Source organism: Homo sapiens, chromosome 3 (genome assembly GCF_000001405.40).
Source record: "Homo sapiens chromosome 3, GRCh38.p14 Primary Assembly".
Classification (NCBI taxonomy): domain Eukaryota; kingdom Metazoa; phylum Chordata; class Mammalia; order Primates; family Hominidae; genus Homo; species Homo sapiens.
Genome location: NC_000003.12, coordinates 96,937,651 through 96,956,347, shown reverse-complemented (window position 1 = coordinate 96,956,347; position 18,697 = coordinate 96,937,651). Strand labels below are relative to the sequence as shown.

General features: G+C 36.8%; 1 protein-coding gene across 14 annotated transcripts in view; it reads right to left on the bottom strand.

Annotated features, from left to right (window-relative positions):
• EPHA6 (EPH receptor A6) overlaps nucleotides 1-18,697 on the bottom strand; it is a 946,939-nt gene that overhangs the window by 805,185 nt on the left and 123,057 nt on the right. The window contains exon 3 of one of the 14 annotated variants that reach the window (XM_017006211.2): nucleotides 7,652-7,692. The exons of the other annotated variants lie outside the window; for them this stretch is intronic. Within the exon in view, the coding sequence (XP_016861700.1) occupies nucleotides 7,652-7,692 (41 nt within the window). The remainder of the gene's footprint in view (nucleotides 1-7,651; nucleotides 7,693-18,697) is intronic. 14 annotated transcript variants of the gene reach the window in all.

The window sequence follows — 18,697 nt, the reverse complement described above, 5'->3', positions numbered from 1 at the left end:
ATCTGGGCACACTTAAACTTTCTAATTCATCCATCAGGATTAGTTAATATGACCTATGTATCCCTTATGAGTGCCTTCTCTACAACTTACTGGAAGAGGGGAGAATATGAAGGGAGAATTTTCTTTTAATTACCAATCTCTATGTGTATGGATTGTTACTTTTTCAGAAAGCTTAGGAATATACTTATGAAGAGATTCATACTTACTAAATGATGCTCTAAAATTTCGTCTCATGTTCTTTTTACACTGCAACATTTTTCAATTAAGCAACCTTTTGACACTGATCTGCTGAAATATTTACTCAGGAATTCAGAGAGCATGTTTATTCCATTTCGTACTGAATATAAATTCACATAAGTATAAAAAAGGATGTGTTCCAAACATTTTTTATCCCTCAGAGCTACCAACAAATGATTTCTCAGTTGATTTCTTCAAAGCATTTTTCATATCACAAAAAACATAGTTTGTATTTGTTCCTACTTGTGAGTAATGCTTTTCAACTGACAACTGTTTTTAATTAAAATGCATTCATCTGAAAAGTTATTAGCATAATGTGTTAGAAGGTAGGAAATATTAGGCTTACTGACATGGATAATGAGTTTTTGTTCATTATATATATTTTTAAATCATTGAATTCCATCCGTGAAGGTTAAAATAAAGATCATTCAATAAACAGTACCAACCTCAACCTTTATGTTTAAATTTCTGTCTGCTTTTGCAAATGCATCAGCACAGTATCTTTTTTTATAACATATTTTTTGCCATTAGTCTTGAAATTTACCAAAAATGAATTAAGAAAACACTAAGAGTACAAATATTAAACAGAAACAAACCTAATTTCTGTAACTTTAGTGGAAATTCTTCATATACCAAAAACTGTTTCCCTCTGCTTCCTTAGAAGATATCCATTAATGAAAACCATAAATATCCCTTGCATGGATACTGAAAAGCTATAGCATGAGTAAATATCAAGTCTATGCACATATACAAATAAAATTCATGTTAAACTATATGGAAATCCAAATAAATGAAAAGAGATATAATATGTCCATAGACAAAAAACACCATTAATGTAAAGACACATGTGATGTGTCTTTTTGGAGGGCACCATGTCAGCACATATCAAATTTAAAATTTTCATATTCTTTGATACAGCATTTCTACTATTAGAAACATGTTCTACATAAATACATCACAAGAATGTTCACTGAGCACTGTTCTAGCTCTGTAAAGCTCAGTGAAATATTAGAGACAAAGATCTCCAAGAAGTAAATAGATAAATTATGTTTTATCTATACTTTGAAATATATTACAGATGTTAATGTAGCTCATTAATCAAATCATTCAATAATTTACTTAATAAATATTAAGAACCTGTTATGTGCCAGATAGCATTCTAGATGTAGAAGGCACACCAGTCCAGCTACTCGGGAGGCTGAGGCAGGAGAATGGCGTGAACCCGGGAAGCGGAGCTTGCAGTGAGCCGAGATTGCGCCACTGCAGTCCGCAGTCCGGCCTGGGCGACAGAGCGAGACTCCGTCTCAAAAAAAAAAAAAAAAAAAAAAAAAAAAAAAGGCACACCAGTAAAAATTTAAGACTAATTCCTGTTTTCACAAACTTGTATTTGGTTATAGCTTGTTTGGAAAGAAAAGGATTTTTAAAACTTATAAAACTATCATTGGTGAAAAGTGCTCTAAAGAAATATAAAGTGAGGTTAGGTAAACAGCCATGAGTGAATGAGGGAGTTGTTCTTTATGTGAGATAATCAGGAAGCACTTCTCCCTGTGTAGTGATATTTGAAACCTGACTGAGGTGCAAGCCACAGAAAAATCTGGGGTAAGAGCATGAAAAGAAGAGGAAAGAGTAGGATCAAAAAACATAACTTGGGAGCAAGCACAGCTTATATGATAAACAGCAAGGGGCCAGTGTGACAAGGGCTCAGTGTGCAAGAGAGGAAGTGGTTAAGAACTGAGTTCAAAGAGATATTGGGGAAAATCACCAAAGCTGTGGCAGGCTTTTGAGAATATTTTGGCTTTTATTCTTAATAAGACGTTGAACCACTGTAGAGTTTTTGCCATGAGGAATGGCAAGATCTGGCTTACAATTTAGGTGGGTCATTCCGCTGGCTGTCTTGAGGCAAGTGAGGAAGGGACAGCGGTTAAGATGCTACTGAAGGCTGGGTGTGGTGGCTCACACCCGTAATCCCAGCACTTTGGGACGTAGAGGCAGGTGGATTACTTGAGCCCAGGAGTTTGAGACCAGCCTAGGCAACACAGCAAGACTTCATCTTTACAAAAAACAAAAAAAATAAGCCAGGTGTGGTGGCACATGCCTGTAGTCCCAGCTACACAGGAGGCTGAGGTGGGAGTATCCCTTAAGTGCAGCAGGCAGAGGTTGCAGTGAGCTGAGATTGCGCCACTGCACTCCAGCCTGAGTGACAGAGTCAGACCATGTCTCAAAAAAAAAAAAAGTTATTGAAATAGTCCAGGGGAAAGGAGACAAAGCCTGGATTTGAAGAGCAGCAGTACAGATAACAATTCCATTTTAAGATTCACTGGACAGGATTTGCTAATGGTTTGAATATGGGGTATAAGAGAAAGAAGGAATGTCAAACATGGATAGATCAGCATATGGTGATATAGATGGTTGTCTCTCAGGTGAGATAAAAGCAATATGCAGAAAAATGTGTAGAACTGGCCCATTTTTATCTTTTAAAAAGGGTCTGAAAGACAGATACCAAACTTTAACACCAGAAAAGAGTGTAGAATTGGCTTTTGTTTAAAAAGAAGACTTGGAAAGAGAAAAGTCAAGTTTCTTCTATAAATGTATGCAGGAGCCATAAACTTTAACACTTTACTTCATGGAGTTTTGTATTATTGGAGTATTTTTGTGCTACAATGTACTATTTGTGTAATTTTAAAATTCCAGGCAATTTTAAACGGCTGGAAAAAGGAACGGTGATAATATGTATATTGGGTTTTTAAACTAGAAACAAATACAATTCTGGCAATTGACTTGCCACTTTCAATAATACAAACACTAAGTGAATTTCCAAATAAAACATCTCAAAAGACAGTGATCACATAATTAGAAATATACATTTTTCATCTTTATTTTTAACAATATAAATACTAAATTGAATTACCAAATTAACTTCTCATTAAAAAAATAAACTCCTTGGTTAGCATACTATACAGGATGGAAAACCTAACTTAGCATCATGATATATGAGAAAAACATAGGCTATAAAAAACCCAGGAAATCTTGAATTCAAATATTGTTCTTTTTTGGTTATTTCTTTGTGTTAAATGTTTTAATTTTTTAAAAACTTTTACTTTAAATTTAGGGGTACTTGTGCAGGTTTGTTACACAGGTAAACTCGTGTCACGGGGGTTTGTTGAACAGATTATTTCATCACCCAGGTATTAAGCCTAATACCCTTTAGTTGTTTTTCCTAATCCTCTCCCTCCTCCCACCCTCCACAGACAGACACTGTGGCATACTACAGTGTTGTTCCCCTCTATGTGTCCATGTGTTCTTATCATTTTGCTCCCAATTGTAAGTGACAACATGCAGTATTTGATTTCCCGTCAAAAGAAACTATCAACCGAGTAAATAGACAACCTACAAAATGGGAGAAAACTTTTGCAAACTATGCATCTGGCAAAGGTCAAATAATGTTAACACTGGGTAACAGAAAGTCCATTTTCAGTTGCTATAACAATATTGAGACAGGATAATTTATAAGAAAATAACTTTATTTTGCTCACAATTTTGGAGCATGGAAGCAACATCTGGTAAAATCTTTCATACTGAGTTATAACATGGCAGAAAGGCAAGAAGCACAAGCAAAAGAGAAACGAAGAGGGCCAAACCTCTTTATAATAACCTACTCTCACAAGAACTAACTCAGCACCACAAGAACTAACCTAGCCCTGTGAGAACTGCACTAAACCCTTCATGAGGGTAAAGCCTTCACGATCCAAACACCTCTTAAAGGCCCTACCACCTCACAATACCATTACATTGGCAATTACATTGCAACATGAGTTTCAGTGGGAACAAGACACATCCAAACTATAGCAGAAAGTAAGTTTAGAAAACAGCTATTCGGTGCTAGGCACTGTACTAGGCAGTGCTTATCAAGCTATTTAACACGCGTCAGACCACAAGTAGCTCACCTTCTTGTCTGGATGGGTGTAGTGAGGAATGCTGAATGATGATGGTCTCTTCCTAGTACAATGGAGAACAAGAGGACAAGTACCCAGGCTGAGTGATGAGAAATAATTAAATTTTCCAAGAACCTTGACTGTCAAGATTAAGTATACCCACCTAGTCTGTCCTTATATCAAACCAAGTACACCATAGTTTCCTAGGTTGCTGAGAAACAGTAAGTCAACTCCTTAACTCCTATCTTTCTTCCTTCCTGGAGACCATGCTAATTTTCATGACTACTGCAGGCCACAGAGATAGCTTCTTTCTCTCAACTGCTATAATATATGACCTAAGATATTCAGTTTGCATAAATAACATACTCTATAGTGTATTGTCCTCTGGTTTTATAAATAAAGAAGAAACTGCATAATATAACTTGGACATTTCAATCAAAAGATATGATTTAATCCACAGCCTCGGCACTCTGATTTGTATAAAAATCAGATTAGTTGCTTAAATTTATCTGATTTTCAGGTCTATATTGGACCATAAAGGACATAATATGGCTCCCTCGAGTTATTATGAAGATGTTATGACATATCTCCACAAGTGAAGATAATTAATAAACTATAAAATAAGATACTAGTAAACCAGAATTATGATGATGATGATGATTTATAGAGTTTATATTCTTAATAGAAAATATATCATCAGCATCTTGATGTCAAAGATTGTCTCTCAAATACTTGAATTCTCTTAGCAAAGAGTTACGTGCCTTTTTAGTTAGGAGGCAATAATAACTGAGTTGTTAGTAATGATTACTTTATAAATGCTACTGATTGATTAAATAACTTTATCTTCAATACAAAAATAAAAAACTTAACAAAGGCATATTTTGATTTCTTTATGTCACTAATATGGTATAAAGTATGTTAGAACAAAGAATTAAATCAAGTGATAGGTAAAAAGTAATACAGTATAAAAAAGTATAGACTATGGGCTAGTCTCTGGTTGGCAGAATATTACTGACCATGCTGGAGAAAACCTACTTTCTACTAGACAGTTTCTCAATTATTCTTTTCTTGAAAATAAAATCTGTAACAGTGAAGCAACTAAGGAATAAGAATTATTTTTACTATCATAATTCCACTGCCAACGCTGAATATCAGTTCTTAACTAAGTAAAAAAAAAGCAAAGAAGTCAACACTAAATATAATTCATAAACAATAAACAGAAAAAGAATAAAAGAAAAAGCTGGGTTAAATGAGAAGAAAATTATGATTAGCCATCACTAATTCTCTTAGATAACAAATTCCAATAAAAAACATTTAAATGTTCAATAATGAAGATCTAGGTAGACATAATAGACACTAGTAAAAAACTGGCATATCAACATGGAAAAGGCAATTATGATGTGTATATAGCAATATAAATACAAACAGTAATAAAAAGTGGATGAAGTTGAACTTGGACATATACACTACAATAGCAACACTCAAAAATAATTTTATAGAATCAGGAGGCTCAAGAGTTAACAAATAATTAGATATTAAGCAAAAGAGTATCTTTGGAAGATTACCACCCATGAATAATGATGATTTATTTCTCTTCAACTTCCATTGCTTAATTGTTTCATTGGTTCAACTTTAAAAATCCAATACAGTGATTTTTCCATGAACTAATATATTATAACTGAGAAAAAGACACAGTTCCTGACTTCACAAAGCTGCAACCTCATGAGAGAGAGAAATGCAACTCAGTATCTTTCAGAACATCAAGGGCAAAGAGGCTTACACCAGTATACCAGTATTGTGCAAAGGGTGTTACAGGGGCACAGTCTCTGCCTAAGAGGTCCTACACTTTATAGGTGAGGGCATGGCATTAGTATTTGAACTAGGGCATGAGTAGTCTTGGACAATCCAAGAACTAGAGAATGAGAGAACCTCTAATAGGTATACAGAAGCACATGAGAAATTACGAGATGCTAAGACGGGCATTGTGGTTGGAACATTAGACTAATGGGGAAAGATGAAATATGAAGCTGGGAAAGTGACACACACCATGTTTCCAAGATCCTTTAATGTCTGCTAAACACAGTAATTTGAGATAATGACAAGTTAATGGAAGTTTTAAAAGTAAGGTCTCCCTGAATAGAACTTTATTTGTTAGAAGACACTGCACAGAAGGATAAATTTTAAGGAAAAGTAAGGACACAAAGACTTCAAAGCTATGAATGTTGAACTTGTGAACACAAAAGGTTTAATGTTAAGACTTTAATTTTCGGTAGTCAATTAGGAAAATGGTGCTGGTCCTCAGGAAAAAGTCTGGGCTACAGAACATATTTTGATAAGTATTTAACCTTCTAAGGTCATGGTAGCCATAAATGAGATGTCCTAGAGAGAGTAAGTTTAAGCAGTAGAGGAAAAGCAGAGAAGAAAGTGGTAAAAATACTGACATTTAAATAGAAGTTAGAGAAATAAATATGATTTTAAAATGTATTTGCATTTAGTCAAGTATTTAAGGAATAAAATAAATTCCCCACACACATTGCCTACCTTTTAATATTAGTCATTTATTACCCATTGTAATCCTACATCACCTGCTTACAATCCTTATTATTTAGAGAGGTTTAATTTCATGTGCTAATAGATAACTTTACACAGCAATGTTATATATATACTTTTTATAAAAATCTCACTTTATTCTCAAAAAGTCCCATCATGTCATTAATTATTATTAACCTAACTTTACAAATAAAGAAACTGAGGCATAGAGTGGTTAGGTAACATGGCCCAAATCACACAGCTAATAAGTAATACTGCAAAATTTTGAATTCCCAGCCCATCTTTCAACAGCTAGATTTATACTGCCTTTTTATATGCTGCACACCTTTTGCTACTAATAGCTATTTTTGTTTCATGTAATATTTTTTGTTTTTAAGATTTAAGTTAAATTTTGTATTAGAATTAAATTCAAAACAAGTGAAAAAAAACTTACAATTTTTTCTCCGTCTATCAATCAGTAACTGGGCCAGATTCTCATTTATTTTCGACCTGATGTACACTTGTAAAACTGTAGCAATGTTCTTGGGTTTGATTTAGCAATCAAGTGCAACAGACAATAGGATTCATCCAACACCAATTTTATTGAGCATTATGAAAAGGGATATACGGCATACAACAAAACACCATACATGGTGATGGTCAACAGCATAGCAGGACTCCACGGCATAACCTCCAAATGTCCCAGTCACTCACAACTTAGGATGCACACAGTCAAAAGACACATTGCAGTGTGAGTAAAGCCAATCTCAGTTCAAGCAATCCATCTTTTCTGGTGCCCTTTAGTCTTTTGTACCTTATTCCAATTCTCTGGTACATCAATACAGATTAATTTTTACTTAGCAAACAATCTTGACAATTAGGTATAGGTGTTTTGTTTGATAAATAGAACTGCGACCAGATTTTCATTTATCTTAGATCTGCTATATACGTACAAATTTCTTGAGTCTTGAGCTTGTGGTGAAAGGAGGCATACCTGAAGATAGAGGAAACACCACTAATCAAATATAAAGACTTTCCTTTTACCACGAATCTATATAATAAGATTTTATTCATTTATTTTAATCAAAGTGTAATTACATTTTAAATACTTAGCATTTTTTTTCCATAAAGCTGGCTTATTCAAAAACATATCTAATATTCCTTCTCCTGACTTTCAGGGAAATAAAAAGTAACATCAATAAGAATTACTAAGATATCTTCCTACAGCTTAAACAATGCACTGATTCCTAAGTTTCAAAACAGCCAAAATTATGCCAAGGTTACATATGAACTGTAAAGGAATATGGGTGGAGGAATCACAATCAACTTTATGTGGTAGTTGACAAGAAATGATAGAAATTTTCCTCAATGACACATAGAACATACAGAAGCAAATAAAGTATATATGAAAACAACTGATCTATAAGACACTCCAAGTTTTAGATGACTATATCCATTTTAAGAGTCTTGCAAAGATAAACTTTGCCAAAGTGCAATTAAAAAAACAGTTTTTGCCTTCATACTTATTTAAAAATAGTTGGGGAAAATATCCAAAATACGTACAGGATACCATTTTCAAAAATCCCAGGTACATCCACAACAGAATATTATTCAGTACTAAAAAGAAATGAGCTATCGTAGCCCTGTAGTGTAGTTTCAAGTCAGGTAGCGTGATGCCTCCAGCTTTGTTCTTTTGGCTTAGGACTGTCTTGGCAATGCAGGCTCTCTTTCGGGTCTATATGAACTTTAAAGTAGTTTTTTCCAATTCTGTGAAGAAAGTCATTGGTAGCTTGATGGGGATGGCATTGAATCTATAAGTTACCTTGGGCAGTATGGCCATTTTCATGATATTGATTCTTCCTATCCATGAGCATGGAATGTTCTTCCATTTGTTTGTATCCTCTTTTATTTCATTGAGCAGTGGTTTGTAGTTCTCCTTGAAGAGCTCCTTCACATCCCTTGTAAGTTAGATTCCCAGGTATTTTATTCTCTTTGAAGCAATTGTGAATGGGAGTTCACTCATGATTTGGCTCTCTGTTTGTCTCTTGTTGGTGTATAAGAATGCTTGTGATTTCTGCACATTGCATGGTTCTGGTACCAAAACAGAGATATAGACCAATGGAACAGAACAGAGCCCTCAGAAATAATACCACACATCTACAACCATCTGATCTTTGACAAACCTGACAAAAACAAGAAATGGGGAAAGGATTCCCTATTTAATAAATGGTGCTGGGAAAACTGGCTAGCCATATGTAGAAAGCTGAAACTGGATCCCTTCCTTATGCCTTATACAAAAATTAATTCAAGATGGATTAATGACTTAAATGTTAGACCTAAAACCATAAAAACCCTAGAAGAAAACCTAGGCAATACCATTCAAGACATAGGCATAGGCAAGGACTTCATGTCTAAAACACCAAAAGCAATGGCAACAAAAGCCAAAACTGACAAATGGGATCTAATTAAACTCAAGAGGTTCTGCACAGCAAAAGAAACTACCATCAGAGTGAACAGGCAACCCACAGAATGGGAGAAAATTTTCACAATCTACTCATCTGACAAAGGCCTAATATCCAGAATCTACAAAGAACTCAAACAAATCTACAAAAAAAAAAACAAACAAACAGCCCCATCAAAAAGTGGGCGAAGGATATGAACAGACACTTCTCAAAAGAAGACATTTATGCAGCCAACAGACACATGAAAAAATGCTCATCATCACTGGCCATCAGAGAAATGCAAAGCAAAACCACAGTGAGATATCACTTCACACCAATTGGAATGGTGATCATTAAAAAGTCAGGAAACAACAGGTGCTTGAGAGGATGTGGAGAAATAGGAACACTTTTACACTGTTGGTGGGTCTGTAAACTAGTTCAACCATTGTGGAAGTCAGTGTGGCGATTCCTCAAGGATCTAGAACTAGAAATACCCTTTGACCCAGCCATCCCGTTACTGGGTATATACCCAAAGGATTATAAATCATTCTGCTATAAAGACACATGCACACGTATGTTTATTGCGGCACTATTCACAATAGTAAAGACTTGGAACCAACCCAAATGTCCATTAGTGATAGACTGGATTAAGAAAATGTGGCACATATACACCATGGAATACTATGCAGCCATAAAAAAGGATGAGTTCATGTCCTTTGTAGGGACATGGATGAAGCTGGAAACCATCATTCTCAGCAAACTATCACAAGAACAAAAAACGAAACACCGCATGTTCTCACTCATAAGTGGGAATTGAACAATGAGAACACTTGGACACAGGAAGAGTAACATCACACACCGGGGCCTGTCGTGGGGTGGGGGAAGGGGGGGAGGGATAGCATTAGGAGATATGCCTAATGTAAATGACGAGTTACTCGGTGCAGCACACCAATATGGCACACGTATACTTACGTAACAAACCTGCATGTTGTGCACATGTACCCTAAAACTTAAAGTATAATAATAAAAAAAAAGAAATGAGCTATCATATAGGGAAAAGACATGGAAGAAACTTAAAATCATATAACTAAATGAAAGAAGCCAATCTTAAGAGGCTACATTTTGTATGATTGAAACTACATAATATTCTAGAAAATGAAAAACTGTGGTACAGAAAAAGATCAGTGGTTGCCAAGGGTTAGGCAGTAGTGAGGGATGAACAAGCAGAGCATGGAGAATTTTTAGGGCAAGGAATATACTGTGTATGATACTATAATGGTAGACACATGGTATTTTAAATTTATCTCAATCCATAGCATGTACAACAAAAAGTGTGAATCCTAATGTAAATGATGAACTCTGGTTGATAACAATGTATCAATGTAGGCTCATCGACTGTAACAAGATCATGCATTTATTCTTTTTCACCTGTCTTTAGCCTTTAAGATAAATTTTACAACTTTAATCTACTAATTTTATTGGTATTCACAGATATATATATATTTTTTTCATCATTTAATTATAATGTAAATCTGTAATTAATGTGCCGCACTAAATGCTTTAAAATTATCATTTTACTTAACCCTCCAAAAAACCTAGAAAAATAGGTAATATCGAGTTATTTTACAGATGAGAAAACTACATATGGAATTGTTAAGTGACCTGACCAAAGTAACACAGGTCTATGATTTTATTTTGTAGGGTTAGTAACACATGCAACATATTTGAGTAAGCTGGTAATCAATTATAACTCGAATGCATGGCTTACACAACTTTCGTTAGCCTTGATCATGTATGAGTCAGCTGATAATGGAATTTGCCTGGCTTTGCAGTTCAGACAACACAGAGTGAGTGCAGACTACTTCATTTCAAGGAATCCATCAACTCTGGAGTTCCGTTTTGAACAGCACAGGTCTATACAGGAAAACAGACTATTGGGCATGGAGGTGAATATGGAATCAGAAAATGCACTTAGAATATGATTTTATTAATCTAGGGGAAAGATGATGGTATCATGGACCAGACCGGTTGCAATACTGGTGGTAAAAGTCAATCAAATTCTGGATATATTTTTAAGATAAAATCACAGATATCTGTTTCTCAATTGAAAATACAGTTTCAGAAAAAGTAAAATTAAGTAGAACTCCAAATTTTTATTTAGAATAACTGAAATGCTGAAATTATAAAACAATGAAAACTGTAGAAGAAACACAGACCGAGGTGGGGAGATAAAGTGTTCAGTTTTTGTTTTTGTTGTTTGTTTGTTTTTGAGACAGAGTCTCGCTCTGTCGCCTAGGCTGGAGTGCAGTGGCACGATATTGGCTCACTGCAACCTCTGCCTCCCGGGTTCAAGCAATTCTCCTGCCTCAGCCTCCTGAGTAGCTGGGACTACAGACATGCGCCACCACGCTCAGCTAATTTTTGTATTTTTAGTAGAGACGGGGTTTCACCATGTTGGCCAGGATGGTCTCAATCTCTTGATCTCTTGATCTTACCATTTTACTTACCAAAAACCTAGAAAGATAGGTAATATCGAGTTATTTTACAGATGAGAAAACTGCATATCTCTTGATCCACCCGCCTTGGCCACCCAAAGTGCTGGGATTACAGGCGTGAGCCACTGTGCACGGCCAAGGTGTTCAGTTTTAGATATGTTGGATAAGATGCCTGATATACATGCCAGCTGAATAGGTACAGCATTAAATAACCAAGTAGGAGTTCAGAGTAGAAGTCAAGCCTTGAAATACAAATTCAGGATTCATTAACATATTTAAAGCCTTGAAACTAAATAAGATCATATGGACCATATATGATAATACTTGAATCAAAGTTCTGATCAATGGAAGAGAAACGAGCCAGAGAAATTTAAAAGAAAAAAAAAAAGGGAAATATATAAGTGATACAATTGTTTAAAAAAAGAGGTGGCTATTATGTATGATAAAAGCTGCTGATAAATCATGTAAGATGAGGGTTTAACATTAAGTTTTAAAGTAGACAATGTGAGTGTTATAAATGATCTGGAGTTGAGTTGTTTTGGTGGAGTGGTGGGACAAAAGTCTAACTAGCATGGTTTTGTGAGAGAAGATGGTGAGTACATACCATTCTTTCATGGAGAGTTAACTGAGACAACATATAGATAACTTTGCAAGGAATTTTATAGAAAAATGTGTAATAGCTAAAAAGGGATAAATATATTAAGCATGTTTATTCACTGATGGATATAATACAATTTATGATCTATTAGAACAACATTATTGATATATCATATATATCATAAATTGCAAAACTCATCTTACATTTCAATAATTTCCAACATCTCAAATTCATTCCTTTCTTATCTCCTTAAATTTCATTTTACAGATACTTTTTTCAATTTATTTTTCAGCATAACATATGCTGCTAGCCTCACTGCATCCTCAACCTCCCAGGCTCGAGCAATCCTCCTGCCTCAGCCTACTGAGTAGCTGGGACTACAGTAATCAACACCATACTCTATCATACAACAGTCAACTTTGCTTTCATTATAAAAGTGAAAGAACGCTACATTATTATTTACTTTATGTTTGAATAAGTTTTGATAACTAGACAGTTTAGTCTCACTGTTAACTGCTTATGTTTTTAAATACATCATTTGCACTTGTAATCATTATGTGCATCTTCTATTCACAGAACAGCTATCACCCCAGTGCATTTCAATATTCTGAACAGAGTCACTACACTTTCAAAAGCATTTAATATATAAAATCTGAAATTCAGGATATTAAAAATCTTTGTGTTTTTGTTTGTTTTTAATTGACACATAATTGTATATATTTTGGGGCACAGTATAATGTTTTGATATATGTATACACTGTATAATAATCAAATCAGAGTATTTAGCATATACATTACTTCAAAAATTTATCATTTCTTTTTGGTGAGAACATACAAAATCCTCCCTTCTAGATATTTTGAAATATAGAATACAATAGGTAGCAGATGAATGGATAAAGAAAAAAATATATATATACAAAAAAGAATATTATTCAGACATAAAAAGAATGAAATCCTGTCATTTGCTGCAACACGGATGAACCTGGAGGACGTGAAATAAGTGAGGAACAGAAAGACAAATATTGCATGATCTCACACATATGTGGCATCTAAAAGAGTTGATCTTATAAAAGTAGAAAAGAGAATAGTAGTTACCAGAGGCTGGTGGTGGATAATGAGAGACTGGTCAATGGATACAAAGTTAGAGTTAGATAGGAGGAATAAGTTCTGGTGTGCAATTGCACAGTAAGTTGACTATGAAATTTAGGTCTCGAAATTAGTTTCAGTTAAAAAAAAAAAGTCCCTTCAAGGTCATTTTGGAATACCCTGGTTTGTATCCCAGAGTTCTCCTAGGCTTAGGAAATGAACATATGAATACTTATTACTTTTAAACTTGAACTTAAAACCAAGAGCAGCGGGAGCCAAGATGGCCGAATAGGAACAGCTCCGGTCTACAGCTCCCAGCATGAGCAAAGCAGAAGACCGGTGATTTCTGCATTTCCATCTAAGGTACCGGGTTCATCTCACTAGGGAGTGCCAGACAGTGGGCGCAGGACAGTGGGTGCAGCGCACCGTGTGCTAGCCTAAGCAGGGCAAGGCATTGCCTCACTCGGGAAGCGCAAGGAGTCAGGGAGTTCCCTTTCCTAGTCAAAGAAAGGGGTGACAGACGGCACCTGGAAAATCGGGTCACTCCCACCCTAATACTGCGCTTTTCCAACGGGCTTAAAATAACAGCACAGCAGGAGATTATATCCCACACCTAGCTCGGAGGGTCCTAGGCCCACGGAGTCACGCTGATTGCTAGCACAGCAGTCTGAGATCAAACTGCAAGGCTGCAGCAAGGCTGGGGGAGGGGTGCCTGCCATTGCTAAGGCTTGCTTAGGTAAACAAAGCAGCTGGGAAGCTGGAACTGGGTGGAGCCCACCACAGCTAAAGGAGGCCTGCCTGCCTCTGTAGGCTCCACCTCTGGGGGCAGGGCACAGACAAACAAAAAGACAGCAGTAACCTCTGCAGACTTGAATGCCCCTGTCTGACAGCTTTGAGGAGAGTAGTGGTTCTCCCAGCACGCAGCTGGAGATCTGAGAATGGGCAGACTGCCTCCTCAAGTGGGTCCCTGACCCCCGAGCAGCCTGACTGGGAGGCACCCCCCAGTAGGGGCAGACTGACACCTCACACGACTGCATACTCCTCTGAGACAAAACTTCCAGAGCAACGATCAGGCAGCAGCATTTGCGTTCATGAAAATCCGCTGTTCTACAGCCACCGCTGTTCTACAGCCACCGCTGCTGGTACCCAGGCAAACAGGGTCTGGAGTGGACCTCTAGCAAACTCGAACAGACCTGTAGCTGAGGGTCCAGTCTGTTGGAAGGAAAACTAACAAACAGAAAGGACATCCACACCAAAAACCCATCTGTACGTCACCATCATCAAAGACCAAAACAAGATAAAACCACAAAGATGGGGAAAAAACAGAGCAGAAAAACTGGAAACTCTAAAAAGCAGAGCACCTCTCCTCCTCCAAAGGAACGCAGTTCCTCACCAGCAATGGAACAAAGCTGGACGGAGAATGACTTTGACGAGTTGAGAGAAGAAGGCTTCAGACGATCAAACTACTCCGAGCTACAGGAAGAAATTCAAACCAATGGCAAAGAAGTTAAAAACTTTCAAAAAAATTAGACGAATGTATAACTAGAATAACCAATGCACAGAAGTGCTTAAAGGAGCTGATGGAGCTGAAAGCCAAGGCTCGAGAACTACGTGAAGAATGCAGAAGCCTCAGGAGCCGATGCGATCAACTGGAAGAAAGGGTATCAGTGATAGAAGATGAAATGAATGAAATGAAGCGAGAAGGGAAGTTTAGAGAAAAAAGAATAAAAAGAAACGAACAAAGCCTCCAGGAAATATGGGACTATGTGAAAAGAACAAATCTACGACTGATTGGTGTATCTGAAAGTGACGGGGAGAATGGAACCAAGTTGGAAAACACTCTGCAGGATATTATCCAGGAGAACTTCCCAAATATAGCAAGGCAGGCCAACATTTAGATTCAGGAAATAAAGAGAATGCCACAAAGATACTCCTCGAGAAGAGCAACTCCAAGACACATAATTGTCAGATTCACCAAAGTTGAAATGAAGGAAAAAATGTTAAGGGCAGCCAGAGAGAAAGGTCGGGTTACCCACAAAGGGAAGCCCATCAGACTAACAGCTGATCTCTCGGCAGAAACTCTACAAGCCAGAAGAGAGTGGGGACTAATATCCAACATTCTTAAAGAAAAGAATTTTCAACCCAGAATTTCATATCCAGCCAAACTAAGCTTCATAAGTGGAGGAGAAATAAAATCCTTTACAGACAAGCAAATGCCGAGAGATTTTGTCACCACCAGGCCTGCCCTAAAAGAGCTCCTGAAGGAAGCACTAAACATGGAAAGGAACAACCGGTACCAGCCACTACAAAAACATGCCAAATTGTAAAGACCATCAAGGCTAGGAAGAAACTGCATCAACTAACGAACAAAATAACCAGCTAACATCATAATGACAGGATCAAATTCACACATAACAATATTAACCTTAAATGTAAATGGACTAAATGCTCCAACTAAAAGACACAGACTGGAAAATTGGGTAAAGAGTCAAGACCCATCAGTGTGCTGTATTCAGGAAACCCATCTCACGTGCAGAGAAACACACAGGCTCAAAAGAAAGGGATGGAGGAAGATCTACCAAGCAAATGGAAAACAAAAAAAGGCAGGGGTTGCAATCCTAGTCTCTGATAAAACAGACTTTAAACTAACAAAGATAAAAAGAGACAAATAAGGCCATTACATAATGGTAAAGGGATCAATTCAACAAGAGCTAACTATCTTAAATATATATGCACCCAATACAGGAGCACCCAGATTCATAAAGCAAGTCCTTTGAGATCTACAAAGATACTTAGACTCCCACACAATAATAATGGAAGACTTTAACACCACACTGTCAACATTAGACAGATCGAGACAGAAAGTAAACAAGGATACCCAGGAATTGAACTCAGCTCTGCACCAAGTGGACCTAATAGACATCTACAGAACTCTCCACCCCAGATCAACAGAATATACATTTTTTTTCAGCACCACACCACACGTATTCCAAAATTAACCACATAGTTGGAAGTAAAGCACTCCTCAGCAAATGTAAAACAACACAAATTATAACAAACTGTCTCTCAGACCACAGTGCAATCAAACTAGAACTCAGGATTAAGAAACTCACTCAAAACCGCTCAACTACATGGAAACTGAACAACCTGCTCCTGAATGACTACTGGGTACATAACAAAATGAAGGCAGAAATAAAGATGTTCTTTGAAACCAACGGGAACAAAGACACAACATACCAGAATCTCTGGGACGCATTCAAAGCAATGTGTAGAGGGAAATTTATAGCACTAAATGCCCACAAGAGAAACAAGAAAGATCCTAAATTGACACCCTAACATCACAATTAAAAGAACTAGAAAAGCAAGAGCAAACACATTCAAAAGCTAGCACAAGGCAAGAAATAACTAACATCAGAGCAGAACTGAAGGATATAGAGACACAAAAACCCTTCAAAAAGTTAATGAATCCAGGAGCTGGTTTTTTGAAAAGATCAACAAAATTGATAGACTGCTAGCAAGACTAATAAAGAAGAAAAGAGAGAAGAATCAATAGATGCAATAAAAATGATAAAGGGGATATTACCACCGATCCCACAGAAATACAAACTACCATCAGAGAATACTACAAACATCTCTACGCAAATAAACTAGAAAATCTAGAAGAAGTGGATAAATTCCTCGACACATACACCCTCCCAAGACTAAAACAGGAAGAAGCTGAATGTCTGAATAGACCAATAACTGGCTCTGAAATTGTGGCAATAATCAATAGCTTACCAACGAAAAAGATTCCAGGACCAGATGGATTCACAGCCGAATTCTACCAGAGGTACAAGGAGGAGCTGGTACCATTCCTTCTGAAACTATTCCAATCAACAGAAAAAGAGGGAATCCTCCCTCACTTACTTTATGAGGCCAGCATCATCCTGATACCAAAGCCTGGCAGAGACACAACCAAAAAAGAGAATTTTAGACCAATATCCTTGATGAACATTGATGCAAAAATCCTCAATAAAATACTGGCAAACCAAATCCAGCAGCACATCAAAAAGCTTATCCACCATGATCAAGTGGGCTTCATCCCTGGGATGCAAGGCTGGTTCAACACATACAAATCAATAAATGTAATCCAGCATGTAAACAGAACCAAAGACAAAAACCACATTATCTCAATAGATGCAGAAAAGGTCTTTGACAAAATTCAACAGCCCTTCATGCTAAAAACTCTCAATAAATTAGGTATTGATGGGACGTATCTCAAAATAATAAGAGCTATCTATGACAAACCCACAGCCAATATCACACTGAATGGGCAAAAACTGGAAGCATTCCCTTTGAAAACTGGCACAAGACAGGGATGCCCTCTCTCACCACTCCTATTCAACATAGTGTTGGAAGTTCTGGCCAGGGCAATTAGGCAGGAAAAGGAAATAAAGAGTATTCAATTAGGAAAAGAGGAAGTCAAATTGTCCCTGTTTGCAGATGACATGATTGTATATCTAGAAAATCCCATTGTCTCAGCACAAAATCTCCTTAAGCTGACAAGCAACATCAGCAAAGTCTCAGGATACAAAATCAATGTACAAAAATCACAAGCATTCTTATACACCAACAACAGACAAACAGAGAGCCAAATCATGAGTGAACTCCCATTCACAATTGCTTCAAAGAGAATAAAATACCTAGGAATCCAACTTACAAGGGATGTGAAGGACCTCTTCAAGGAGAACTAGAAACCACTGCTCAAGGAAATAAAAGAGGATACAAAGAAATGGAAAAACATTCCATGCTCATGGGTTGGAAGAATCAATATCGTGAAAATGGCCATACTGCCCAAGGTAATTTATAGATTCAATGCCATCCCCATCAAGCTACCAATGACTTTCTTCACAGAATTGGAAAAAACTACTTTAAAGTTCATATGGAACCAAAAAAGAGCCCGCATCACCAAGTCAATCCTAAGCCAAAAGAACAAAGCTGGAGGCATCACACTACCTGACTTCAAACTATACTACAAGGCTACAGTAACCAAAACAGCATGGTACTGCTACTAAAACAGAGATATAGACCAATGGAACAGAACAGAGCCCTCAGAAATAATGCCGCGTATCTACAACTATCTGATCTTTGACAAACCTGACAAAAATAAGCAATGGGGAAAGGATTCCCTATTTAATAAATGGTGCTGGGAAAACTGGCTAGCCATATGTAGAAAGCTGAAACTGGATCCCTTCCTTACACCTTATACAAAAATTAATTCAAGATGGATTAAAGACTTCAATGTTAGACCTAAAACCATAAAAACCCTAGAAGAAAACCTAGGCAATACCATTCAGGACATAGGCATGGGCAAGGACTTCATGTCTAAAACACCACAAG